Source organism: Homo sapiens, chromosome 2, assembly GCF_000001405.40.
Source record: "Homo sapiens chromosome 2, GRCh38.p14 Primary Assembly".
In the NCBI taxonomy this organism is placed as follows: domain Eukaryota; kingdom Metazoa; phylum Chordata; class Mammalia; order Primates; family Hominidae; genus Homo; species Homo sapiens.
Window position 1 is genome coordinate 241,865,269 of NC_000002.12, and position 24,394 is coordinate 241,889,662.

At 58.1% G+C, this 24,394-nt stretch overlaps 1 protein-coding gene and 2 long non-coding RNA genes across 3 annotated transcripts in view, besides 3 other annotated features; 2 read left to right on the plus strand and 1 right to left on the minus strand.

The window, feature by feature from the left end:
- Positions 521 to 1,302: an enhancer, noted in NCBI's record as "H3K27ac-H3K4me1 hESC enhancer chr2:242807941-242808722 (GRCh37/hg19 assembly coordinates)". NCBI's record gives its function as "activates a minimal SCP1, AML or CMV promoter by ChIP-STARR-seq in primed H9 embryonic stem cells {active_cell/tissue: H9 hESC(primed)}" and the evidence as "EXISTENCE:reporter gene assay evidence [ECO:0000049][PMID:30033119]".
- On the plus strand, positions 4,461 to 8,555 carry RTP5 (receptor transporter protein 5 (putative)). Its single transcript, NM_173821.3, has 2 exons — positions 4,461 to 4,646; positions 6,446 to 8,555. The coding sequence occupies exons 1-2, from the start codon at positions 4,489 to 4,491 to the stop codon at positions 8,004 to 8,006; spliced, it is 1,719 nt and encodes a 572-aa protein (NP_776182.2). The 5' UTR covers positions 4,461 to 4,488; the 3' UTR covers positions 8,007 to 8,555.
- Positions 6,545 to 7,101: an enhancer, noted in NCBI's record as "H3K27ac-H3K4me1 hESC enhancer chr2:242813965-242814521 (GRCh37/hg19 assembly coordinates)". NCBI's record gives its function as "activates a minimal SCP1, AML or CMV promoter by ChIP-STARR-seq in naive H9 embryonic stem cells {active_cell/tissue: H9 hESC(naive)}" and the evidence as "EXISTENCE:reporter gene assay evidence [ECO:0000049][PMID:30033119]".
- Positions 8,556 to 13,765: 5,210 nt separating the features above from the next.
- LOC105373978 (uncharacterized) lies at positions 13,766 to 16,059 on the minus strand. The gene is made up of 3 exons (XR_924077.3): positions 15,847 to 16,059; positions 15,601 to 15,749; positions 13,766 to 14,008 (listed from the first exon to the last, which is right to left on the minus strand). It is a non-coding gene; the product is annotated as an uncharacterized LOC105373978 (long non-coding RNA).
- Positions 15,525 to 16,115: an enhancer, noted in NCBI's record as "H3K27ac-H3K4me1 hESC enhancer chr2:242822944-242823534 (GRCh37/hg19 assembly coordinates)". NCBI's record gives its function as "activates a minimal SCP1, AML or CMV promoter by ChIP-STARR-seq in naive H9 embryonic stem cells {active_cell/tissue: H9 hESC(naive)}" and the evidence as "EXISTENCE:reporter gene assay evidence [ECO:0000049][PMID:30033119]".
- Positions 16,095 to 24,394, plus strand: part of LINC01237 (long intergenic non-protein coding RNA 1237) — a 197,360-nt gene continuing 189,060 nt past the window's right edge. The window contains exons 1-2 of the long non-coding RNA NR_110220.1: positions 16,095 to 16,210; positions 17,292 to 17,367. This is a non-coding gene — a long non-coding RNA (long intergenic non-protein coding RNA 1237). The remainder of the gene's footprint in view (positions 16,211 to 17,291; positions 17,368 to 24,394) is intronic.

Genomic DNA, 24,394 nt, shown 5'->3' on the forward strand with positions numbered 1-24,394 from the left:
TGTGTGGTGTTTGGTTGTGTGGTGTGTGTAGTGTGCGTTTGTGTGTGGTGTGTGTAGTGTGTGTGGTGTGTGTACTGTGTGTGGTGTGTGTAATGTGTTGTGTGTGTGTAGTGTGTGTGATGTGTGGGTGTGTGTGTAGTGTGTGTGGTGTATGTGGTATGGTGTGTGTGCTGTGTGTGGTGTGTGTAGAGTGTGTTGTGTGTGTAGTGTGTGTTGTGTATGGTTTGTGTGATGTGTGTGTAGGGTGGTGTGTGTTGTAAGTGTGGTGTGTGTAGTGTGTGTGTGTGGTGTGTGTAATGTGCGTTTATGTGTGGTGTGTGTAGTGTGTGGTGTGTGTAGTGTGTGATGTGTGTAGTGTATGTAGTGTGTGGTGTGTGTAGTGTGTGGTGTGTAGTGTGTGGTGTGTGTGGCATATGTGTCTTGTGGTGTTTGGTTGTGTGGTGTGTGTGGTGTCTGGTGTAGTGTGTGGTTTGTGTGGCATGTGTGGCATGTGTGGTGTTTGGTTGTGTGGTGTGTGTAGTGTGTGGTGTGTGTGGGTGCGTGTGGTGTGTGTAGTGTGTGTGGTGTATGTGGTATGGTGTGTGTGCTGTGTGTGGTGTGTGTAGAGTGTGTGTGTGTAGTGCGTGTTGTGTATGGTTTGTGTGATGTGTGTGTTTGGTGTGTGTGGTGTGGTGTGTGTAGTGTGTCTGGTGTGTGTAGTGTATGGTGTGTGTAGTGTGTGTGGTATGTGTAGTGTGTGTAGTGTGTGGTGTGTGTGGCTTGTAGTGTGTGGTGTGTGTGGCGTGTGTGGCATGTGTGGTGTTTGTGTGGTGTGTGTGGTGTGTGTAGTGTGTGTGTGGTATGTGTAGTGTGTGTGGTGTGTGTGGTGTGTGGTGTGTGGTGTCCTGTGTGTGTGTGGCGCCCCTGCCTTCTCACTCCAGGGCAGTGGGTGTCACTCAGGCCCCTTGCTGGTCCCCCTGCTGGTCCCCCTGCTGGGCTCCAAAGCCGAAGAACCCGGGCTGAGCTGCGCGGGATGCTGAGCTGCGCGGGATGCTGAGCTGCGGGGGGATGCTGAGCTGCGGGGGATGCTGAGCTGCGGGGGATGCTGAGCTGCGGGGGATGCTGAGCTGCGGGGGATGCTGAGCTGCGGGGGATGCTGAGCTGCGGGGGATGAGCAGCGTGAGTGAGCGGTCCCCCAGGGAGGGATGCTCCGAGGGCGAGTGCAGGAGGTCCCTTGCATTCCTCCTTCGGAATGGCCTCCCCAGCCCCAGCAGGACTGCGGGTTGGAGGGGAGAGCAAGGGGCCTCTTGGACAGTGGAAGCGCTTTCAGCAACAGAATGGCTGGACAGAGGCTGCGTCCCCCCACCAGCTGCCGGTCCTGGGATCCCTGCCCGCCTGGGCAGCGCTGGGGCAGAGCCACACGGAGCCTTGGGCCAGGAACAACCCCTTGCCGGTGGGGCCTGTGGGACTGCAGGGCCTGGGGTCTGGGAGGCGGCCTTGTCCCTGCCGCTGCAGCCACGAGCTGAGGTCTGTGTTGGGAGGGTGAGCCCCAGCTGAGGTCTGTGGGGGGAGGGTGAGCCCCAGCACCTGCGAACGGCCACCGTTCTCTGCTCGGCTCCTTTTCCTGCCCGTCTCTTTCTCCCTCTGAGCAAGGACCACCATCCCGTCAGCCGACCGGTCCTCTGGCCCCACCGGGCCTTGGCGTTTGCTCCTCCCTCGCCGGGAGCTGCTGCCTCTGCTCCTCCAGGCCCAGGCAGTGCATCCGTTCTGGCAGGAGACTGTGGTGGGACTCACCTGAGCTGCAAGTTCTGCTTCCCAAGGGAGGGCTGTCCCCGGCCTGCCAGCTGCCCTCCCCAGAAGCTGAGCTCAGGAAGACGGGTACCAGCGTGTGAGGAAGGGGCCCCAGAAGGAGCGCGTGTCTGCGGGGAGAGGGAGCGCTAAGCCACCACACCAGGTGGGCAGCAGTGCTGAAGGGGCACCCGGCTTCCCCTGATCGTTTCTTTTCCCTGTGGCCCAATCTCCCACCCCCATCTCACCCTGTCCTGGAGCCAGCCTTCGGGGAGGCTGGGCAGGGAGCGGGGTCAGAAGGCGTCTGCCCCAGGCCTGGGTCCTAGGGCCTGTCCTTGGAGGGACCACACATGCCTGGAGAGAGGCTCCAGTGGCCGGCTCCAGGTGGGCGCTGATGCAGAAGGCCCAAGGAGGACCCTGCCACATGTTGCAGGGACCCGTGGGTGCTGTGCACAACCTGCCTCATCCATCCCCGCCGAAGAAGAGGGGGTGCTCATGGCTGGCTGATTTGTGAGGGGGCCACGTAAGCAGCTCTTGCAGGGCGTGGCTTGTGGGTTTGGGAGACAGACAAATGGGCAGTCAGACAGAGGCGTGGACAGGATGCCCTCTCTGCTGTCTGCCGCCCAGGCCTCTGGAGGTGTTCTGGGATGGGTCTAAGGAAAACTCAACAATTCTTGAGCGAATAATGCCCGGGCAACCAGCTCCCTGCATTTCATAAGGGCCGGAATTGCCATCCAAAAGGTTATTTTGGGTGACTGTGGTCAGTCATCATTCCAAAGCTTTTCCCTAAACTCAGAGCCAGGTGTGGCCTCCAGGGCTGAGGAGCCTGAGAGGTGGGACTGGCAGGCAGGGCTGTGGCCCCAGCGTGGCACGGAAGCAGCCAGGAAACACTGGCTCTGGGGGGCTGTGGTGGGAGGAGGTCCTCTGCAGGGACCCCTGTGGACCGAGGCTTTTGGAGGCAAGTGGACAGTAGGTGTCTCTTAGACCCCTGCGGGGGCACACGACCAGGACCACAAGGGGCCCACACACGCACAGTGGCCCGGAGCCAACCAGCAAACCCCAGGACCTTAGATACAGCCCGGCGAGTGAGTTAGGATTGCTCCGGCTAGCTGTGTGATCATCCACAGTGCCAGAGAACAGTGCCTCGAGACCACAGTGGCAGCTGGCTTACTTCTCGTGTGAACAGGAAACCCAGAGGTGGGCGACCCTCCAGTGGTGTGACGACTCCATCTGTCACCACAGCCCCGGGCTCCCGCCTTCCTGCTCCTTGGGCTCACAGCTCTGTGCTTGAGGCAGGTCTAAGACAGGCTGGAGTGCGGCCATCATCCCAGCACTGATGGATAGAAGAAAATGAAGCTGGGATGAGAAACGCGGGGCTTTCCCTGGCAGTCTGGCCCTGTATGGAGGCCCCTTCCCAGAGTGCGTCCCACTGGCTTCCTCTTCTATCTTGCAGTCACACCTAGCTGCAAGGCGGGAAGATGTCACAGGTTTGAAAGGGCCGAAAAGAAGGTTCAGAAATGAAAACTATGACAAGGCGCTTGCCAGCATTAGCTGCAGAGTCGACAGAGACGAGGAGATAATGTGTGAAGTGGTAGAAAAATGAGAAGAGATTGTTCAGTGTGCAGGGCAGAGAGATGGCGAGATGGGAGCTGTGAGGAGAGCCGGGTGGCCGGGAGCCTCCCGGGGGCAGATCTGTGCTGAGGTTTTGCAGGGATCAGCTGGCTGTCTCCGCCCCTGCACGTCCCGGCTCCTTCTCAGCTCACCCTTTCTTGTTGTGCCATGACAGGTGGCTGCCACGCACAGCAATGCTGTTGAATCTCAGAAATTAAACAACCTGAAAAGGCGTGAGAAGCTGGGCACATGCATGAATTGTTTATGTAAAGCTCAGAAGCTGCACAGCTAAAGGGCTCGGTGAGGGAGGCATCATAGGTGTTGAAGCCTCAACGTTGTCTGTGCAGGCACGGCCAGGCTGGTGGCACCTCTGCCAGGAGGGCAGGGGGTGGGGGTGGGGCCGCGGGCTGAGATCGGGAGGGAACAGGCAGCCAGCTCTGGAGGCTGGCAGAGCGAGGTTTTGTTTCTTCCTATAGGACGTGGTGACTTAAGACTTTAGAATAATTTGTGAAGCTCTGCATTTATGTTTTAGGCATTTTATGTAAATATTTTATATTTCTCACTAGTAAAAAGTTTAAGAGAATACACCCACGGGACAATCTGCAATGATACACGTTCTATAAAGTTCTTCTCAGCTTTGTTTGTGTGAAAAGCATTAGTGCTGTTTGCAGAGAGAAGCTGAGTGAATAAGTTACATGATAGCCACAAGCTGGAAAAATACCAAGTGTTCAGCAAGGGATGAGTGTGGGCCACCGCTCCTGATGTGCACTAGAAAGAGAGGGCTGTGGATGATTCCTTGGTGCGATGTGTGAAAACACCCGGGCCTCTACACGCACGGGTCTGGGGAGGCCCCTGCGTGTCCACGGGCCCACGCCCACCACCACCACCACGGTGCTGCCACAGGGATGCTCTCTGGGGGGCGGGGTCATGGGAGATTGCATTGTATTGTATTTTTCCTTTCTGCTTCCCATTTCTCGGAGACAAATCTGGTTGCCATGGAGACCATGCTGTTGTCAAGGTGGCTGATTGGCCGGCGCGGGATGCGGGGACGTTTCCTTGGGCCCCCGGCGGGCGCAGCCCTCAGCCCACACTGCGGAGCCAGGCGGCAGCATGGACCGGGCTGGGGCAGACATGTGGGCCAGCACCTTCACCCTGGCCATGGCCGAGAGGAAGCCCCAGGACGTCTGGGTTCTGCTACCTGAGCACAGCCTGGTCCCGGGATGCCTGGACGGCGGTGGTGTCCAGTACCTGCTGGTGGGGCTCTCGAGGTGCGGCCAGAGGTTGGGGACCCTGGGAGAGGCAGGGGGCTGAAGGTGCTTTTCCACGGGACCTTGGGTGGTCCCAGAGGCTGGGTGGGGCTGTTGGGCCTCGTCTTGTCCCCGAGACGGGAGGGTGGGGCTGGGTGCTCCTTCTCCCGCCGGAGCCCCTGCCTCGCCATGCTGGGCACACGGCTGCTGACGCAGGGGTCCCGGGGAAGACATGGCGGGTGCCTCATGGAGAGTTTGGTTTCCCTCACTCGGCTCCTTGGGCCAGCGCTGCCCTTGGACACAGGCTCATCTCCTGCTTCCATGGCACTGCCGTGGTCTCGCAGCCATCAGTGCTGACAGGTGGGCCCTGGGGCGTGCCGGAGCCTGTGGTCACCATCCGGCCCTGTGTTGCACACAGCGGGGTGCTCGGCCCTGATCGGGGGCCCGGGGTGGCTGTGGGTCACAAGTGAGCCTCACAGGCCGTCATCACGGTTGTGGTGCCGTCAGCGCAGCAGGGCGGGCGCCATGCGCTTCTCCAACTGGCAAGGCATCCACAGCTCGGCCGGGTGCCAGCTGGGAGGGGCGCGGGGCAGCTCCACATCCTCGCAGATGCCCGGCCTGACAGGCCCCCAGGCTGCTGGCTGGTCCGTCCCTCTGTGGAGACACCCTGGGCAAAGGGGGAGTCGTCCTGCCCTTTGACACAGCTCCTCAGTGCCTGAGACCCCTGGGGCCAGGTGTGTGCAGAATCCCAGCTTTTTCAGAAGCTGGGAAAGTAATAACCCGTGTTGGGGTCTGAGAAGTGCTGGGAAGCACATCACTGTTCCCACAGCCAGGTGGAGATGGCTCTGAGCGGCTCCCAGCTGGCGGGAGAGAACTGAGGACGGCTGCCCCAACATGCAGCCCCAGCGCCCGTGGCTTTGGCTCCTCAGTCCCATTTAAATAAAGTCAGCAGTTCAGTTCCTCCAGCACGAACGTGTCCACGGGCTCTGTGGCCAGTGTGGTTGGAGGCTGCAGGCAGGGCAGTGTGGCTATAGAACATTCTGTCATCCAGAAACTTCCACTGCCTGGAACTGAATCATAGCCTCTCACTCATGCAGGGTTCCCTGAAGCTCACAGCTGCTTGTGTGGCTAGCAAATGGTCACCGGTCTGATGACCGCCATGGACAAGCCAATCCCTCCCAGTGCTCTCCCCAAACCTCTCCTCGCCTGGTGACGCCCAGCAGGGCTGCCCGGGCCATGACCGCAGGCCTCCGTGACATCCTTCCCCTCAGCTGGCAGGCGACCTCCTGGATCGCCTCCTCTCAGTCAGGACAGGGACCCCCACTTGCTGAGCCCCCAGGGACAGCCCCCACATGCATGCTTTTCCCCTCCTAAGTGTGTCGGCAGGCCTGCCTCTTCCTGTGTTAACCCCAACTCACAAAACACCAGCAGAGCCACGCAGGTGGCAGGCTGCCGACGCCTCACGGAGGCCAGGCTGGAGCGGGTTTTGTTGAAAAACTGCTGAGAGGAGGTTTGCTTTGCTTCTCAGTGCTCCACATGAGGGGGCTGCGGGCTAGTGCGCATGGGCCTGCTTTTGCCTGTGTGTGGCCGAGGGGCTGGTGGTTTCAGAGCCTCGGCACAGGCAGGAGCAGGTGCTAGGCTGCCTTGGCCGCGGCCCTGGGTGGCTGGGGGGTGAGGTTTGAGGTTTGAGTGTGGGATGTGAGGCAGGGGGCAGCGAGGCGCTGGGGTCGGATGGGCAAGGAGGCCGCAGAGCAGAGTGCGAGGGCTGGGCGTGGGGCCTCTTTCTCCTGCACTCACACACACTTCTTTCCCCGCCGCAGGCTCCAGTGCGGTCACTGTCCGGGGACCTGGGACTCGGCCCATGTGCACGTCCTCTTCCACCTGTGGTGGGACAGGGCCAGCCACCGGGGGCTGGTGAAGATGCGCATCTGGGGCCAGCGGTGCAGGCTGTGCCCCGCACCCGGGGACTGCCAGGTGAGGCCCCCGGGCGAGCAGCCCTTCCTCAGCAGGCTGGTCTTGCACATCCTGCAGGACTGCTACGGGGATGGCCCCGGCCCAGCCCGGCACCCCAGGGAGGCCTATGAGGGCTGCTGTGAGGCCTGTGAGCTGGGGGTCTGCTTCCTCCAGAAGGCCCCAGACCCCGCCTGGAGCGCCAACGCCACAAAAGGCAACTTCCCCGCCACGGCCTGGGGTGGCACTGGCACCGTCTCCAGGGGCAAACCGCTGTCCACCCCTGGCGACGACCTTGGCAAGGGTGGCGTTGTCATCGCCATCCCCTTCTCCCTTGTGGGTACCAGCAATGACCAGGTGCCCATCGCTGAGGGCCCTGCCCCCCCTGCGGGGGCCTCTCTCCCTGTGACTGGCAGCTGTGAGGCCCTGGTCATCGGCCAGGGCTCCATCTTCCTGTCTGGGGATTCAGTGGCCATGCCTGGGGGCAAAGGCTTCCCGGTGGCCATTGGAGACCCCCTCTTCCACGGCCCCGGCCTCCTCGGCAGCAGCATCCAGACCTTCGAGCTCAAGGGCTTCCTCTTCAAAGGCCGGGGCTCCCTCTGCAGCCCGGTTGGCGTGGCCCAGGGCTGGGGCCCCATCTCCCTCAACAATGGCCTCGTCCCTGTGGGGAAACACACGCCAACCGTGTTCTACTGTGTGGGCCTCTCGGCCAGCGGGGAGGGCTCCCTCACCTTCCCCTCCTCCCTCACCAGCATCTTCACCAACACCCTCTCGGAGCCCACCGATGGCCCTGTGGCCACTAAAGAGGCCTCCATCACCTTCCCCTTCATCTTTACTGATGTCAAGGATGCCGTTGCTGAGGTGGCTGAAGGCAACGGGAAGGAAGGAGGCGGCCAGGGCCTCGTCCCAGTGGGTCACGACGCCCTGCCAGAGACCAATGCTGGTGGCCTCCCCTCCCAGGTCAAGGGCTCCCTTGCCCTCCCCTTCCCTGCTGATGTCCAAGGCAAAGATGCCTTTACTGACATCACTGAAGGCAAAGAGAAGGAAGGTGGCCTGGTCACCGCGGGTCACGACGCCCCTCTGGAGGCCAATGCCGAGGGCCCCATCACGGTTAGTGAGGGCTGCATCACCATCCCCTTCGCAGTCTTCGATGTCATAAAGCGCAAGGGCGGTGGCCACGTTGCCTACGGCCCCCAGGGCAATGGCTGCTTCTCCCAAGGCTATTACCAGAAGAGGCAGCTGAGGTCCAGGTTCCACAAGGCCCGCTGTGGGTGCCGCCGGGAGGAAGACGAGCGCCCTGGCCGTGCCTGCCGTAGGCCGCACGCCGAGCCCTACGAGGACTTCTGGATCTGGGTGTCCATGACCGTGTGCGTCTTCTGGCTGATGTGCATGTGTCGGCTGAACCCCGGGATCTACCCGCAGCAAGTGTGACGCCCCGAAGTTCAGGCAACCCTCGCCTCTGGGACCCCGCCTCGCCTCTGAGACACCCCCCAACCCCGCCTTTGAGATGCCCGCCCCGCCTCCGAGACCCCGCCTCCACCTCCGAGACCCCTTTCTCTGAGACCCCCGCCTCTGAGGCCCCGCCCCCCGCCTCCGAGACCCCGCCCTGCCTCTGAGACCCCGCCTCACCTCTGAGACACCCCCCAACCCCACCTTTGAGATGCCCGCCCCGCCTCCGTGGCCCCGCCTCCACCTCCGAGACCCCGCCTCCACCTCCGAGACCCCTTTCTCTGAGACCCCTGCCTCTGAAGCCCCGCCCCCCGCCTCCGAGACCCCGCTTCACCTCCGAGGCCCCGCCCCCCGCCTCCGAGACCCCGCCCCCCGCCTCCGAGACCCCGCCTCACCTCTGAGACCCCGCCCCCGCCAGCAGCTCAGCCCCTCCTGTCTCTTGCCCCTGGTTTTGTGGGTCTGCCCTGAGCTGTGCCTGTGTGCTCCAGCCTCTTCCTATGTGTGTAACTTCAATAAAACCAAGCAAAGCCAGCCACGCAGCCCTCCACCTAGGGGAGGTTTCCAGGTGAGAGAAACCTGGGCCGGTCCTTCTGTCCCTCCACCCTGCAGGGGCCCCTCACGCCCACCGCTTCTTCCCCTGGGGAGAGCTCCCTCTTGGGGATTCCGAATTCCTGGCCATGTGTGGCTCCTGGGATAGGAGAGGAAGCTTTGGCTCCGGCTCCGTGTCAGGTGCAAATTAACCTCCCTCCTGTGTGGACCCAGGGGTCTTGTGGAAGAGGCCACTTACCTCTCTCCAGGAAAGACTCAAGCCCCCACTGAGACTGGCTTGTCACGCCCTCCCTCTTCCCTCCAGCCTCAGTGTAGCCTCTGGAGGGATCTTGGCACCTCTCATCCAGAGGGTGGGAGGCCACGGTGGGGCTCTGAGCTTGTCTGGGTTTGAGAAATTCTATCCATTGCAGATGACAGAAAACTCTCCTGTTACTCAAAGCCACACACTGGATTTTCATTTTAAAAGAGTCCAGTTTCCATTTCCTAGGGGCGGGGGTGTTGGGATTCCCGGCTGTCCCAGCCAGGTGGGGGCCTGACAGTGGCAGTGTCTGGGTCCGACTGTCCGGCCTCTCAGGCAGGGTCAGCCCTGAGGGTCCTGGAAGGTTGGGAACTGCCTGGGGAGACCCTGGGGTCTGTGACTGGGGAAGCCCTGCCCTGTAGAAAGGGGAAACCGCGTCCAGGGCCCCTGGTGGGGAGGGGGGCCAGCCCAGAGATTCTGCCTGCCAGGCTGGCCTGGACCCCTGGGGTGTGCGGGGGAGAAGTGGCAGGGGGGGCGTTCTCCCACACAGCTGTGGTGGGCTCGGATGCAGGTGGTGCGGGGGCTTCAAGGGGAAGCAGCAGAACCTCTTGTCCCAACCCGGCACCCTCTGCTTACCGGGCACCGATGGAGACCCCAGCGGCCCCAGGAGGCTCCACCCTGCACAGAGGCTGGAGACAGCAGCCAGCCTGCGGGTGACACGGATGAGGGTCCAGGAGAAACCCCAATCCAGGTCTCAGGGCCCAATTGCAGGGACAGGGGTCCCAGGAGAAACCCCAATCCAGGGCCTCGGGGGCCAACTGCAGGGACAGGGGTCCCAGGAGAAACCCCAATCCAGGTCTCAGGGGCCGAAATGCAGGGACGGGGGTCCCAGGAGAAACCCCAATCCAGGTCTCAGGGCCCAACTGCAGGGACGAGGGTCCCAGGGGAAACCCCAATCCAGGGCCTCGGGGGCCAACTGCAGGGACAAAGGTCCAGGAAAAACCAGAATCCAGGCCTCGGGGGCCCAACTGCAGGGATGAGGGTCCAGGAGAAACCAGAATCCAGGCCTCGGGGGCCCAACTGCAGGGATGAGGGTCCAGGAGAAACCAGAATCCAGGCCTCGGGGGCCCAACTGCAGGGATGAGGGTCCAGGAGAAACCAGAATCCAGGCCTCGGGGGCCCAACTGCAGGGACGAGGGTCCCAGGGGTGCAGGTACCAGCCCCACAGGGTCGGTGGGCTTCTCCCTGTGTGTGGCGACGAGAAAGTGTAGAAATAAAGACACAAGACAAAGAGATAAAAGAAAAGAGAGCTGGGCCCTGCGGACCACTACCACCAATGCGCGGAGACCGGTCGTGGCCCCGAATGAATGTCTGGCTGCGCTGTTATTTATTGGATACAAGGCAAAAGGGGCAGGGTAAAGAGTGTGAGTCATCTCCAATGATAGGTAAGGTCATGTGGGTCACGTGTCCACTGGACAGGGGGCCCTTCCCTGCCTGGCAGCCGAGGCAGAGAGAGGAGACAAAGAGAAAGACAGCTCACGCCATTATTTCTGCATATCAGAGACTTTTAGTACTTTCCCCAATTTGACTACTGCTATCTAGAAGGCAGAGTCAGGTGTACAGGATGGAACATGAAGGCGGACTAGGAGCGTGACCACTGAAGCACAGCATCACAGGGAGACGGTCAGGCCTCCGGATAACTGTGGGCGAGCCTGACTGATGTCAGGTCCTCCACTAGAGGTGGAGGAGCAGAGTCTTCTCTAAACTCCCCCGGGGAAAGGGAGACTCCCTTTTCTGGTCTGCTAAGTAGCGGGTGTTGTTCCTTGACACTTTTCGCTACCGCTAGACCACGGTCCGCTTGGCAACTGGTGTCTTCCCAGACGCTGGCGTTACCGCTAGACCAAGGAGCCCTCTGGTGGCCCTGTCCGGGCATAACAGAAGGCTCGCACTCTTCTGGTCACTCCTCACTATGTCCCCTCAGCTCCTATCTCTGTATGGCCTGGTTTTTCCTAGGTTATGATTGTAGAGCGAGGATTATTATAATATTGGAATAAAGAGTAATTACTAGCAACTAATGATTAATGATATTCATATATAATCATATCTAAGATCTATATCTGGTATAACTATTCTTGTTTTATATTTTATTATACTGGAACAGCTCGTGTCCTCGGTGTCTTGCCTCGGTGCCTGGGTGGCTTGCTGCCCACACAGGGGAAACCTGAATCCAGGTCTCAGGGGCCAACTGCAGGGACGAGGGTCCCAGGAGAAACCCCAATCCAGGGCCTCAGGGGCCCAACTGCAGGGACGAGGATCCCAGGGGAAACCCCAATCCAGGTCTCAGGGGCCCAATGGCAGGGACGAGAATCCCAGGAGAAACCTCAGTCCAGGTCTCAGGGGCCCAACTGCAGGGACGAGGGTCCCAGGGGAAACCCCAATCCAGGTCTCGGGCCCAACGGCAGGGACGAGGATCCCAGGAGAAACCTCAATCCAGGTCTCAGGGGCCCAACTGCAGGGACGAGGGTCCCAGGAGAAACTGGAATCCAGGGTCCCAGGGGCCGAAATGCAGGGACGGGGGTCCCAGGAGAAACCCCAATCCAGGGCCTCAGGGGCCAACTGCAGGGACGAGGGTCCCAGGAGAAACTGGAGTCCAGGGCCCCGGGGGCGCAACTGCAGGGTGGCAGGAGCCCCACACGCCGACTCAGAGGGCCCAAGCCTGCCTCGTCCTGGGATGGGTTTGGGGAATCTGCTTTCCTCTAGTGGGGCAGGGGCTCTGGGGGCCTCCTGGGTGGGCAGCCTGGCCGCCTCGGGCTGACAGCAGGTGCCCCTCCCCACCCCTTCTGCCCAGCACTATGGGGCGGTGGTCTCAGGCGCTGTGGGTGGGGGAATCACAGGAACACCTGAGGCCCCAGGCAGGGGGCACAAGGCCCTGACCTTGCCCTTCTCCCATCGCCTGCCAGGCCACCTCTGGCTGGGAGCTTGCTGGGGCCCAGAGGGTGGGTGAGTTCTGGGGCCCAGGGCAGGGAGGTCGCAGGGAGGCTCTGTGTTCTGGATCCACGCCCCTGCCCTCAGTGCCACCCACCCCAGGAGCCTGTGCACAGGTGTCCCTATATGAGCACAAGAGGGGCCACCCTGCAGTGACCTCGCTTGGTCGCATGGCTACTAAAATGTGGCCACCGAAGAGGAAGAAGGGAAGGCTGGCACCGTCGCTACAACCCACCCAGCTCAGACTTCAGGATGGCTCCCAGCCCACCCCTGCCATCGGGCAGCTCCCAGCATCTGACCCTGTCAGGACACAGGACACGACTGTCACCTGGGACCCCCTTCCCTGCAGGCCGTGGGGGCAGCCTCAGGAACGGTGGGAGACCCCCACCTCTCCCAAGGGGCTTCCTTTTGTCTGCCTCAGGGCTGCCCAGACACTCCTGCCCTCGGGGTCCTTCCGCACCCTGCCAGGGGGCCCTGAAGTTTGCAGGTTCCCGCCCACCCTGGAAGAACACCCTCAGGGCTTCCAAAGGCACCCGGGATCCCCCAGCTCCCCGGCCACCGCTCAGCTCCCTGGCCACCGCTCAGCTCCCTGGCCTGCTTGACCTCAACTGCCCCCTACCCCCCTCCCCGACCTCCCCAGGGCCCCTACCCCGCCCTTCGCCCCCCACCCCCCATGCTCCTCACTCCCCACCCCCTTCCCACCCCCTTCCTGGTCCTTCTTTCCTACCCCTCCCCCGACCCTCCTTTCTCGGTCCTCCCAGCCCCCTCCCCGTCCCTCTCCCCTCCTCGTGTACCTGTCCAGCGCCCCTCTTTCTCTCTTCCCCTCCCCTCCCCTTCCTCTTTCCCCCTTCCCCCTTCCGGCCCCCCCAACCTGTCCCTCTCTCTGCTCCCCTCCCTCTCCTGGCCGCCCCCCAACCCCATCCCTCTCCTCGCTCCCCTCCCTCTCCCGGCCCCCCCACCCCCATCCCTCTCCTCCCTCCCCTCCCTCTCCTGGCCGCCCCCCCCACCCCTTCCCTCTCTCCTCGCTCCCCTCCCTCTCCCGGCCCCCCCACCCCATCCCTCTCCTCGCTCCCCTCCCTCTCCCGGCCCACTCCGCGCTGTCCTGCGGCGCCCCCGTGTGGCCGCTGTGGGGGAAGAGCAGACCTTGTTGTCGAGGGAGGCCTGGGAGGGCGTGGATCTCTGGGGCCGCTCCCTTGCCCTCATTGCTGTTGAACTGCTTCTCGGCTTAATCAGATGAGTTGTTAAAACTACCCATCATCAGCATTGTTACCATTGGTTTCATTAGTAATTGTATTTATTTAATTAATTGTTACATTCACTAGTAAAAATGGGAGCTAAGGCAATGCGTGCACTCACCGCTGTGAAGGCAAATGCGGTACTGTGAGTGCTGAATGCACCGCCATGGTCGCGGGAAAGCCCAGGCACAGACACTAGCTCAAAAGCCAAGGGTAGGCCTGGGGTTCACATGCCAAGCAGCAAGCTGAACTCTCACCCTGAGCCCACACCTGAGCCCTCATCTGAGGCTGCACCTGAGCCCACACCTGAGCTCTCATCTGAGGCTGCACCTGAGCCCACACCTGAGCCCTCATCTGAGGTTGCACCTGAGCCCTCCCCTGAGCTCTCGTCTGAGGCTGCACCTGAGCCCACACCTGAGCTCTCGTCTGAGGCTGCACCTGATCCCACACCTGAGCTCTCGTCTGAGGCTGCACCTGAGCCCACACCTGAGCTCTCATCTGAGGTTGCACCTGGGCCCACACTGGAACTTTAACCTGAGCTTACACCTGAGGCTGCACCTAAGCCCTCACCCGAGACTACACCTGAGGCTGCACCTGGGCCCACACCTGAATCCACACTGGAACTTTAACCTGAGCCTACATCTGAGCTCTTGCCTGAGTCTCCTATATGGTTGGAGTGGCCAGGTTGGGCCTAATTAAATATGAGGTAGCAGTAACGACTTTAGGCAACTGAGTTATTAGTAGAGATATTTAATATCAAAGTCAAAGAAGATGAAGGGCAGACACATTTTTAATGTAATTGCTATTAGTTCAGCCAAAGTTGAGGGGACTCAAAGTGTGAATACTTTTCTGACTTAAGGTACATTTCCTAGTGATGGGGGTCAGCTCATCCAGGGTCACATGTGGTTCCTGCTGAAACCAAGTCTGGGGTTCCCTGGGAGGGTCTGGCGAGAACTCTGACAGCAGCTCCCATCACCCTGTGGTGGATAAAGCGAATGCCTCTCTAAGTGTCTGGGGGTGGGGTAGGGTCTGTGCTGATTTATGTAGCTACCTGTTGCAGGGTTGGGTTAGGATCAGGTTGGTTACCCTGGACCCTGGGTATTCAGGTGGACAGGCGGGCCTTGGCCTTGGACAATGGCTAGCTAGGGTGGGCTAGAGCTGCTTCACCCGCAGCTTTGGCGAGGGGAGCGGGAGGCCAGGGAAGTCCCCAGGAGGAGTGGCCACGCTGTGATCCGGGCCCCGGGCTGGCTGGTAGGTGGAGGGTCACACCACCTGGGCCTCAGTGAGGTCCTAGCTGGAGCAGAGGTTCGGGGATCTCCTTCCCTTTCCTTCTGGGGCCTGGGACTTTGTACCTCTGTACAGGAGAGGCAGCAGAGGGCTGGGGTCCTGGCGATGCCTCCACTCTGCCTCCCAGCCTTTGGGGAATGTCTCCACCTGTTATGGCAAGTGTCCCTGTTTGCCTGGGACTTTGGGGGCTAAATTGGAGGCCTTTCTCTTTTTCCCCAAGTTCTCCAGCACACTTAGAAGCATCCGCCCACCCAGCTACACCCCTAAATTTTTCCCTTGATGCCCAGGGCCAGGCATCCTATGGCCATTTGATTACAGATGTCTGCAGGTGGCAATCTGAGTGCCTGTATGCTACTCCTGTGGGCAGCTAGCACCCTGGTACCCCTGGGAACAGAGCGTGAATGCCTTTAAAGCTAGTTGGAGCAGAGAACCAATTCCAGACACCCAGAGACATTTAGATAACTCATTACTAGGGTCCTGGCCCTGGGATCACTCCCAGGACTAGTTCTGTGTCTGTCCAGGTGTGATCCAGGAGTGCAGTGACGGATGTGGATGTGGGATTGGCACAGGACTTCCGCCAGCAGAAGAAAGGAAGGGAGGGGAGGGGAAGAGAGGGCAGGGGAGCAGAGCGGAGGAGAGAGGGGAGCAGTCTTTCCAGCTGGGGCTGGCCTAGGCTGCTGGGTCATTTGGGAAGAAAAGGTGATTTGGACTCAGGGAGACTGAGGGTGCCCTCGGGCCAGCATCTGAGGAGAGTGACAGGGGTTTCCTGGCTCCACAGCCCCAGGTGGCCTTGGTGGGTGCAGGCAGAAAATGACCTTTTCAAGTCCAGTTCCAACCCAGAGGGGGTTCCTAGACCCAGCGCCAATCAAGGGGCACCAGGGAGGCAGCAGAGGTTCCCGCAAATCCAGAGCAGAGTGGCTGCCAGACACCCCACATCCTCTTCGCAGCAGACTGAAGGCCACCCCACACTTGGAGGAGCCCGGGTGAAGCATCTGGGGAAGACCCTCAGCCCTGGGAGAGTCCCTCCAGGGGTGAGCAGGTGGGCTGCCCCTCAGGGTGCGGCTCATTTCGATGTAAGTTTTATAAAATAAGAAAAGGCGCCCTATAGCACCCCTTTGGGAGCCTCGTGTCACCTCCAAACATATACCTCGCTTCCAGGTCAGAAGTAGTGAAATGACCATTGCCAATGCAAATGGAACTGCCTTAGGACACATGGGGGAGGTTAGGGCCTGCTGTGGGGCCTTATGGTGGGCCCCGAGGGGCCCCGCACACCTGTGCTCACCTCCCAGGTCATCGCTGGGCCGCCTCTGTCCCCTGGGAGGCTCTGCCTCGGGGAGCCCTCTTCCCAAGCTCCCAGCAATGACTTCCAGGCCTCCCTCAGCATCAAGAGGAGCCACGTCTTCTTCTTGTGACCCAGCAGTATAATTCACCCTAAATAATGGCAGAATGGGTTGTGTGTAGTCTTTAAAAGTCAAAACAATTTTGCACACAACAGGAGTCATTCAGCAGTGGCTAACACTCTCCTGACCTGTGTCGGCGCTGGGCTCCAAGGTGTACCTCCGCACGCATGGGGTTAACTACGCCCCCATGACCATTCCCTGCAGGAGGGGCGGGACAGAGGACTGCGTTATGTTTCTCCTAAAAGAAAATCATGAAAGTCACACACTCCAGGTGCCACACTTATTATGGAGGGAGGGAAAGCAGATGAGCGGGCGGGAAAACTAGCGGGCTTGCCACGCCCAGGCAGCGCTGCTCGGGTTTCCGCTTCCTCCGCCCCTTCCTTTTTCTCTGTGCATCCTCAGTGACGCGGGGCACAGCTCTGCCCGGGGGCCTACCAGAGCCCACCTGGACCCCACACTGGGTCAGCCCTGGTGCGGAGGAGGCCGCTGTAGGTGGGCACGGGGCAGCACGCGTTAAGGGGCTGGACGGGGGGTGGCCATGCGTGTGAGGGCGCTGAGCAGGGGCGTGCCCATACGTGTGAGGGGGCTGGGTAGGGGCGTGGCCCAGCGTGTGTGTGTGTGTGTGTGTGTGTGTGTGTGTGTGTGTGTGTGTGTGGCTGGACAGGGGTGTGGCCACGCGCGAGGGGGCCGTGCAGGGGGCGTGGCCACGAGCGAGGAGACTAAGGGGCGTGGTCACGCGTGTGAGGGGCTGGGCTAGAGGAGTGGCCCTGTGTGCGGGGGCTGGACGGGGGCGTGGTCATGTGCGAGGAGGCTGAACAGGGGGCGTGACCACGTGTGGAAGGGGGCTGATCGGAGGTGTGGCCACATGTAAGGGGGCTGGGCAGGGGGTGTGGCCACGTGTGAGGGGGGGCTGGGCCGGGGCGTGGCCACACGTGTGCTGGCTCTGCTGTGGGCTTCCTTCCCTTCCTGTGCAGGTGGTGGTGCCCTCTGCGCCTTCACTGGGGCCCAGCCAAGTAACTGAATCCAGCCAGGAGCAAGGGCAGACGCTGGCACAGGTCCTGCCACTGTCCCCAACCTGGGTTTCAACACAGCTGAGGCCTGGCATAGTCTTTCTGGGCGCCTCTGGCTGGCTCGGTCTGAAAGGTGGGACAGATGCAACTGGGGCCTCCCCGGGTGCAGCGTGGGTGGCTCCTGGCTGGGGAAGTGAGAAGCCCTCCGTGCGGTGTCTCTGAAGCAGCCCCAGGCCAAGGCTGTGGCGTGCTTGGTGGTGCTGTAGGCCCAAGATGTTTATGGGTCGAGGGTCCCCGGGGCCGGGATTCTGATCCCTGGTGAGAGGTGGCTGGGAGGAAGTCCAGACGTGTCCTGAGTGGCCATTCCTCACACTGAGGTGACACCGCCTCTCCAAACACGTGACGTGGCTGGAAGCAGATGCTGCTGTCCGGTTCTCCCTCCTCTCCGTCCCTGGCTGGGACATGTGGATCTCACCCGCAGCCACTTTCTTCTGGCCTCTGTCCCCCTGCCTGGGACACGTGGACCTCACCCCCAGTCTCCTTCTCTCCTCTGCCCCCCGCAGGCGCGGCCAGGTCACAGTCGGCACCAGAAGTTTGGCAGATCTCAGTGAGGCGTTAGTTTGCATTTCCTTGTGACGGGTGAGTTGAACACCCTTTCATGAGTGTATTGATCACTGTGTACCTTCTTTGTTGAAATGTCGTCAGTATTTAAAGTCACAAATCTTCCTCTAAGACTATGCTACAATTTTTGTGTAATATTTTGATGGATATTTGAAATAAGTGCTAATTTTCTTTGGATTTCTTCTTTGACCCATGCTTTATTTAGAAGAATCTCTTTATGTGTGTATTTATTTTTTAAACCCTCTATTCTGAGAAGCATATTTAGAAGAGTATTGCCCACTTTCCAAATATGTGGAGAGTCTAAAAGGAATCTTGCTATTACTGATTTAATTCCATTTTGATCAAGGAACAAACTGCAGGATCTCACTTTTTAAAATTACAGAGACTTATTCTTACTGTTTAACATAAGCCCTATCTTTGTAAATGCTCCGTATACACTCAAAAATTACTTGTGTTCTGCAGCTGTGGGGTGGGATGCTCGCCAAGAGTTAATGAGGTGCAGCTGGTTGACAGTGCTCTTTAAACCGGCGAATCCTTCCTGTCCCACCCGCTGTGCTTGCAGTCCCGAGAGAGCTGTTACATCTCCAACTAGGACAGTGAATTTCTCTATTCTTTCAGTTCCGTCCGTTTTTACTTCGTGTTTTTTGAAACTGTTATTATCTTTTTAGGCATTTAGGATTTTTCTGTGATCCTGACAGTGGCTGACCATGGTGTCATCATGGAATGTCCCTCTTTATCTTCAGGGGTGCTACCTGGTCTAATGTGAGTGTTCCAGGGCTATTTTCTTATGCACAGAATTGGCACTGTGTATCTTTTCCTTTTTCTATTCTTTTTTCTTTTTTTTTTCTTTTTCAGACAGAGTCTTGCTCCATTGCCCAAGCTGGAGTGCAGTGGCGCGATCTTGGCTCGCTGCAAGCTCCACCTCTCGGGTTCACGCCATTCTCCTGCCTTAGCCTCCCGAGTAGCTGGGACCACAGGCACCCGCCACCACGCCTGGCTAATTTTTTTGTATTTTTTTTAGTAGAGACGGGGTTTCACCGTGTTAGCCAGGATGGTCTTTATATCCTGACGTTGTGATCCTGCCCACCTTGGCCTCCCAAAGTGCTGGGATTACAGGCATGAGCCACCGTGCCTGGCCACTTTTTTCCTTTTTTTTTTTTTTTTTGAGACAGGGTCTCACTCTGTTGCCCGGGCTGGAGTGCAGTGGTGCCATCTTGGCTCACCACAGCCTCGACCTCCTGGGCTCAAGTGATCCTTCCACCTCAGCCTCCAGAGTAGCTGAGACCACAGGTGTGCACCACCACACCAGGCTAATTTTTTTTTTGTATTTTTCAAACTCCTTTTTTTTTTTTTTGAGATGGAGTTTCACTCTTGTTGCCCAGGCTGGAGTGCAGTGGCGCGATCTTGGCTCGCTGCAACCTCTGCCTCCTGGGTTCAGGCAATTCTCCTGCCTCAGCCTCTCCAGTAGCTGGGATTACAGGCACAAACCACCATGCCTGGCTAATTTTTTTCGTATTTTTAGTAGAGACAGGGTTTCACCGTGTTGGCCAGGCTGGTCTGGAACTCTTGACCTCAGGTGATCTGCCTGCCTCAGCCTCCCAAAGTGCTTGGATTACAGGTCAAACTCTAAGACTCAAGTGATCCTCACTCTTGTGCCTACCACAATGCTGGGACCACTCCTGGACCACTGTGGATCTTTTTCTATCCTTTAGACACCCAACCTGTCTTTGTATCTTACGTGGGTGTCTGTAGATGGAGTTGGGTCTTGGTGACAATCCCTGCTTTGCACATGGAGTTTCTCCATTTGCAATTCCAGTAATGATTGATGAGGTTGCTGTAGATCCCCCATCTTGCTACTTGTTTTCTAAGTGTCTTATCTTGTCATTTGTTTTTTATTTGTCATTTTTTTGTTCCTTTGTTCCTCCATTCCTGCCTTTTTTGGGTTAATTGAAATTTTTTAGTACTTCGTTTTACACCTCTGTTGGTCTTTTAGCTGTGCCTCTTGGTATTACCATTTTTAGTAGTTACCCTAAAGACAACAAAATGAATCCTTAATTTATCAGCCTATTCACCTCACACAAAATGTGGGAAACTTGTAACGGTGTAATTCCTCTAACCCTGTTCTTCCTGTTACAGTTGCCATATGTTTAACCTCTACCTACATTACAAACTCCGTAACACAATGCTACTTTTGCTTTAGACAATCTTTTGAATAAATTAAAGTTAACTTTTTAAGAAATTAACTGTCAGTTGGGTGTGGTGGCTCATGTTTGTGATGCCCAAATTTTAGGAGGCAGAGGCAGGAGGATTGCTTGAACTTAGGAGTTCGAGACTGCTTTCGGAAACACAGTGATACCTCGTCTATTAAAAAGAAAGCAAACTAGCCGAGCATGGTGGTGTGCACCTGTAGTTTCAGCTGCTCGGGAGGCTGAGGCAGGGGGATCCCTGGAGCCCAGGAGGTTGAGGCCGCTGTGAGCCATGGTCACTTTCCTCCCCATCTCCCCTGTCCGGCATCCACACAGCTCCTTCTCTGTTGTCCCAGGCCAACCCCAGCCCTGGTGCTATGCCCTCCTCTCACTGCGCCCTTGTTTCCCCGAGCTCTGCCTCCTATGGTGGCAGAGTGGGAGGGGGAGGGTGGGAAGCATGGCTCACAGTTGGCTCCATCACAGTGGCCCTGTATTTGTCCAGTTTCACAGCCATTTGCTGGAGGAACGCAGGTCCAGCACTGGCTACCCTGTCACGGCAGGGGTGACCTCTTACCAGCCTAGCAGCCCAGAGGCGCCCCAGGTGGGGAGGTGGCAGGTGGACACCGGGTCCCGTGTGTTGTGGCAGTGAAGCCTGCAGCCCACCAGAGCTCCAACAGCAGAGAAACAGGCTGTGAGTGTAAGCGTGGAATTGCTGTGAGCCATGGCGCCAGCAGCATGTGCTGCAGAGACAGCTAATCAATTAGCCCCTCCGTGCTGGGTGCTGTGTGTGCACCATTAAAGAGCTCACGGGGAGAGAAATGCAGACTCCTCTGGGGGCCCCAGGGTGGATTGCACCACTCAGCATGTTCTATTGAGTGCCTTTCCCTGCAGTGCGTGCTTTCTGAGGCTGTAATTTTGAGTGTGTCTTTCAAGGCTGCAGCCCTTAAGCAGTACAGCCTGGGTGTTCAGCTGGATAATCCTGTAAGTGAAGTTTGAGTGGTTTAACTGCCTACAGCAGGTGGGAGCTCGGGTGGTGGGGAGCATCTGGGGTTTCGAGGAGTCTGAGCCTCTGTGCAGGGCTGCAGGCTGTGGACGGGTTACGCGGGTGCTGGTCTTTAACGAGAGGACCTTCAGAGAGATGCAACAAAACCCCATGTGAGGCAGAAATGAAGCCTCCGAGTTGTATTGGAAGAGCTGCTGTCCGTGCAGCCACCACCCCCCTAAATACTCTGTGAGGGTCCTGGCTCCAGTCCATCTGTCTATCATCTTGGGAGCAGCCCATGCCAGCCACGTTGTCCTCCAGGCTTCTCTGCACAGACCTGGCTGCTGCGGGGTGCAGGGCATGTTGTTTGCACGTGTGCACTCCACCTCTCTTTCACATGCGCGTTCTCTGTAACACTCAGGACAACCCCGTGAACTAGAAGTCAGGTCCCTTGTTGAACTGGAGTTGGCCTGAGAAAGATCTTGGAGGATTAAGGCAGAGCTTTGCTCTGGGTCTGCCTCCAGGAAGGTGCCTGAGTCTCCACAGGGGCTGTGCCACAGAAGCCCCCCACAGCTTTTGGAACCCCAGAGCCCTTCACTGCACATTCGCCCTGTAGCCTCAGTCTCCAGGGACCTGGGAAAGCCCCAGCGTCAGCTTTTATGTTCTTCTGCATCACCGTGTCCTCTGCCTCGCTATGAATGAGTTTGTCAGGCCTCCTCCTTGGGGAGTGCGGTGGGGGCAGGTGGCAGACCTCGGGGCCAACAGAGAGTCATTAAGTAATCTCATAGTGAACGTGGCCTGGAGTCTTGTTTTTCAGATGGAAAAGGGAAAATTGGGCAAAGTTTGTAGGAGAAAAATACCAAGTTTTGTGGTGGTTGTGTTGATGGAGGGGGTTGAGCTGAATCTGAGAAGCAAGTACATTTGAGGCTTGGCTGCCACACTCACGGACACTGCAGAGAATGAGGAAAAATGGCTGGTTGTGTTTTCTTTCCACTGCACAAAAGAATAATTGCTTTTGTTTACAGATTTTCTGAAATGTCCTTCCAATTCCTTTGCCCCTGAATTATGAGCTGTGCCAGCTTGCGTGCAACAAATGGGTCTTATTGAGCACAAATACATGGGTGCAGAGCGTCTTTCGAAGAGGAGGCATCAGGGAGCCTCCTCCGGTCTCCACAGCCCCTGACAGGAGGCTGCTTCTCGGGATCCAGACCTGCCTGGGCTGCTTCAGTGGCCTCCCTGCCCTTCCCGGTGCGGCAGATCTGTGCCCACAGCAACGCATCCCCCGCACCTGCACCACCGCTCTTCCTGAGGCCCAGTGTTGATCTCTTTGTGGCCCCAGTGAGGACATTTTTGAGGCTTCATGATCTCTGTAGGATGCTGTCCAGGCCCATGCACACAGCAGGTGCATCCGTGAGGCACACCTCATATCTTAGCACTGCTGTGCTGTGATGCAAGTCCTCAGGGAGCTCGGCTCCACACTGTCACTCAGGGATCCAGCAGCCCCTTCCACCTGTGGCGCTGCCGTCCTCTGGTTTGGCGTCCTCTCCGTTCAGTACACGGCCGGGGAGGAAAGTGAGGAGGCTGTTGCGAGGGTCTTATGAGCCAGGGCCAGGAGTGGACTGCATCACCCCTGCCCAAGTTTCTTGGCTAGAACTAGCTGTTTGGCCAAGGCAAACCCCTGAAGTGAAGGATGCAGGCAGGGCCCACCTCTCTCTCTCTCTCTCTCTCTGCCATTTGCCCCTCACCCCCACCCACCAGACCACCCGCGCCCCCCAAGGAGGCTGCCTCAATGCCCTTCAGTAACCCACTTCTGTTGTGCAAATTCCTCTCCAACATTTCCTCTTCAGAGCGACTGCCCGAGAAAACTGGATAATCGCGCCTTTCCCTGTGTTTCTGTGGTTCTTTTATAATCCTGGTTTTAAAATCTAAAATAGTGCATGCTGGTATTTGCTTTTTAGGGTTGTAGAAGAAGGTTAACAAGGTACCACAAACCGGATGGCTCAAAACAGCGGATACTGTCTCACGGTTCTGGAGACCTGAAGTCTGAAACAAAGTGGTGATGGGGTCGGTTCCCTCCGGAGGCTCTGAGGGGGATGCAGTGGCTCTGAGGGGGCTGTGGGGGCTCTGAGGGGAGACTGGGGGTGGCTCTGAGGGGGATGCGTTTCCTGCCTCTCTCCGCCATGCTGGGGCTCGCTGCATCTTCGTGCTCCTCTGCTTGTGGATGCGTCACTCTGGCTCCGTTCTTCTTCACGCGGCATCCGTCTCCCTGTGTTCTCTGCTTTATAACGGCACCTGTCATTGGATGCAGGGACCGCTCTAATCCACCATGATTCTATCTGGAGAACCTAAACTTAATTACATCAGTAAAGACCCTTTCTCCATGAGGTCCCACTCGCAGGTTCTCGGGGGACATGTCTTTTGGGGCCACCATTCCCCCAGCTCCGATGCTCCTTTAAGCTCATTAAGCTTCATAGAGGGGATTCAGGTGGGGGTGCCCTCGGTCTCACTCAGTGGGTGTCAGGGGGCGTATCGCCTGCAGGCCGGCCCTTCTGCCCTCTCAGAGGCAGCCACAGCTCAGGTCAGGCTGGAGGGTGGGGTGGACTTCCTCCCTCCCTCCCCCTCACTGCCCCCCCCGCCGCCTGCTTCCTCCCATCCTCCCTCTCACTGGCACCCCCACCTGCTTCCTCCCATTCTCCCTCTTGCTGCCCCCCCACCTGCTTCCTCCCGTCCTCCCTCTCACTGGCACCCCCCACCTGCTTCCTCCCATTCTCCCTCTTGCTGCCCCCCCACCTGCTTCCTCCCATCCTCCCTCTCACTGGCACCCCCACCTGCTTCCTCCCATTCTCCCTCTTGCTGCCCCCCCACCTGCTTCCTCCCGTCCTCCCTCTCACTGGCACCCCCCACCTGCTTCCTCCCATTCTCCCTCTTGCTGCCCCCCCACCTGCTTCCTCCCGTCCTCCCTCTCACTGGCTCCCCCTCCCCTGCCAACCTGCTTCCTCCCTCCCTTCCCTTCACTACCCCTCACTCCCTGCCTCTTTCCTCCCATCCTCCCTCTCACTGGCCCCACCACGTGTAACTGTCTGTCAGGCTGGGAGGCAAGAAGCAGCAGGTGCCTTCCGTTTGGCCTTGTACATTTGTTGTCATGAGCTGGGTCTGCTCCCCTGGGCTCAGACCCTTGATTTTCAGGGCTCTTGGTGAGTGGGGGGTGGGCACCTGGGACAGCTGCCCGGGGATGGCTGCATGGGACCTCTCGGGGGGCATCAGCTGCTGTCTAGCTGGGGCTCCGTTACTTCTATTCTTCAGGTTTGGTGCCTTTTTATGCCATTGCATATGGAATTGTTTAACAATTTCATTTTTAAATTGTTCATAGAAATATAGGAAGATAATTGAATTTTGTACTTGATCAGATATCCTGCAACCTGACTAGATTCACTGAATCATTTTCAGTAGTTTGTTTTGTAGATTACATAGGGTTTTCTCAACACATAATCATGCTTGCAAATAATGGCTTTCTTCCTCTCTTTTTCCTCTCCCTCCCCCATCTTTCTTTCTGATTTTTATGCCCTCTGTTTCCTTTTCTTGCCTTATTGCATTGGCTGGGACCCCCAGTACAGTATGGAACAGAAGTGTCAAAAGTGGCCCTAAGTATGGGTCACTTTTAGTTTAGTTTTAGTTGTTAGTTTTCTATAAATGTATTTAATCAGGTTGTGGAAGGTCCCCATTATTTCTGGTTTGCTAAGAATTTTGTCATAAGTACCTACTGAATCTTTTTTTCCTGCTACTGTAGTCTTGGGGTTTTCTTTGTGGGAAGGTTTTTATGTACAACTTTAATTTCTTTAATAGGGATAGGGTTATTTGCAGCTTCCCCCTTATTTCC

Bases quoted from the DNA above. Each gene is read 5' to 3' on its own strand.
- RTP5 (NM_173821.3), top strand. From the start codon at position 4,489: ATGGACCGGGCTGGGGCAGACATGTGGGCCAGCACCTTCACCCTGGCC. The intron at 4,647-6,445 runs GTGCGGCCAGAG...TCCCCGCCGCAG, and splicing joins CTGCTGGTGGGGCTCTCGAG to GCTCCAGTGCGGTCACTGTC.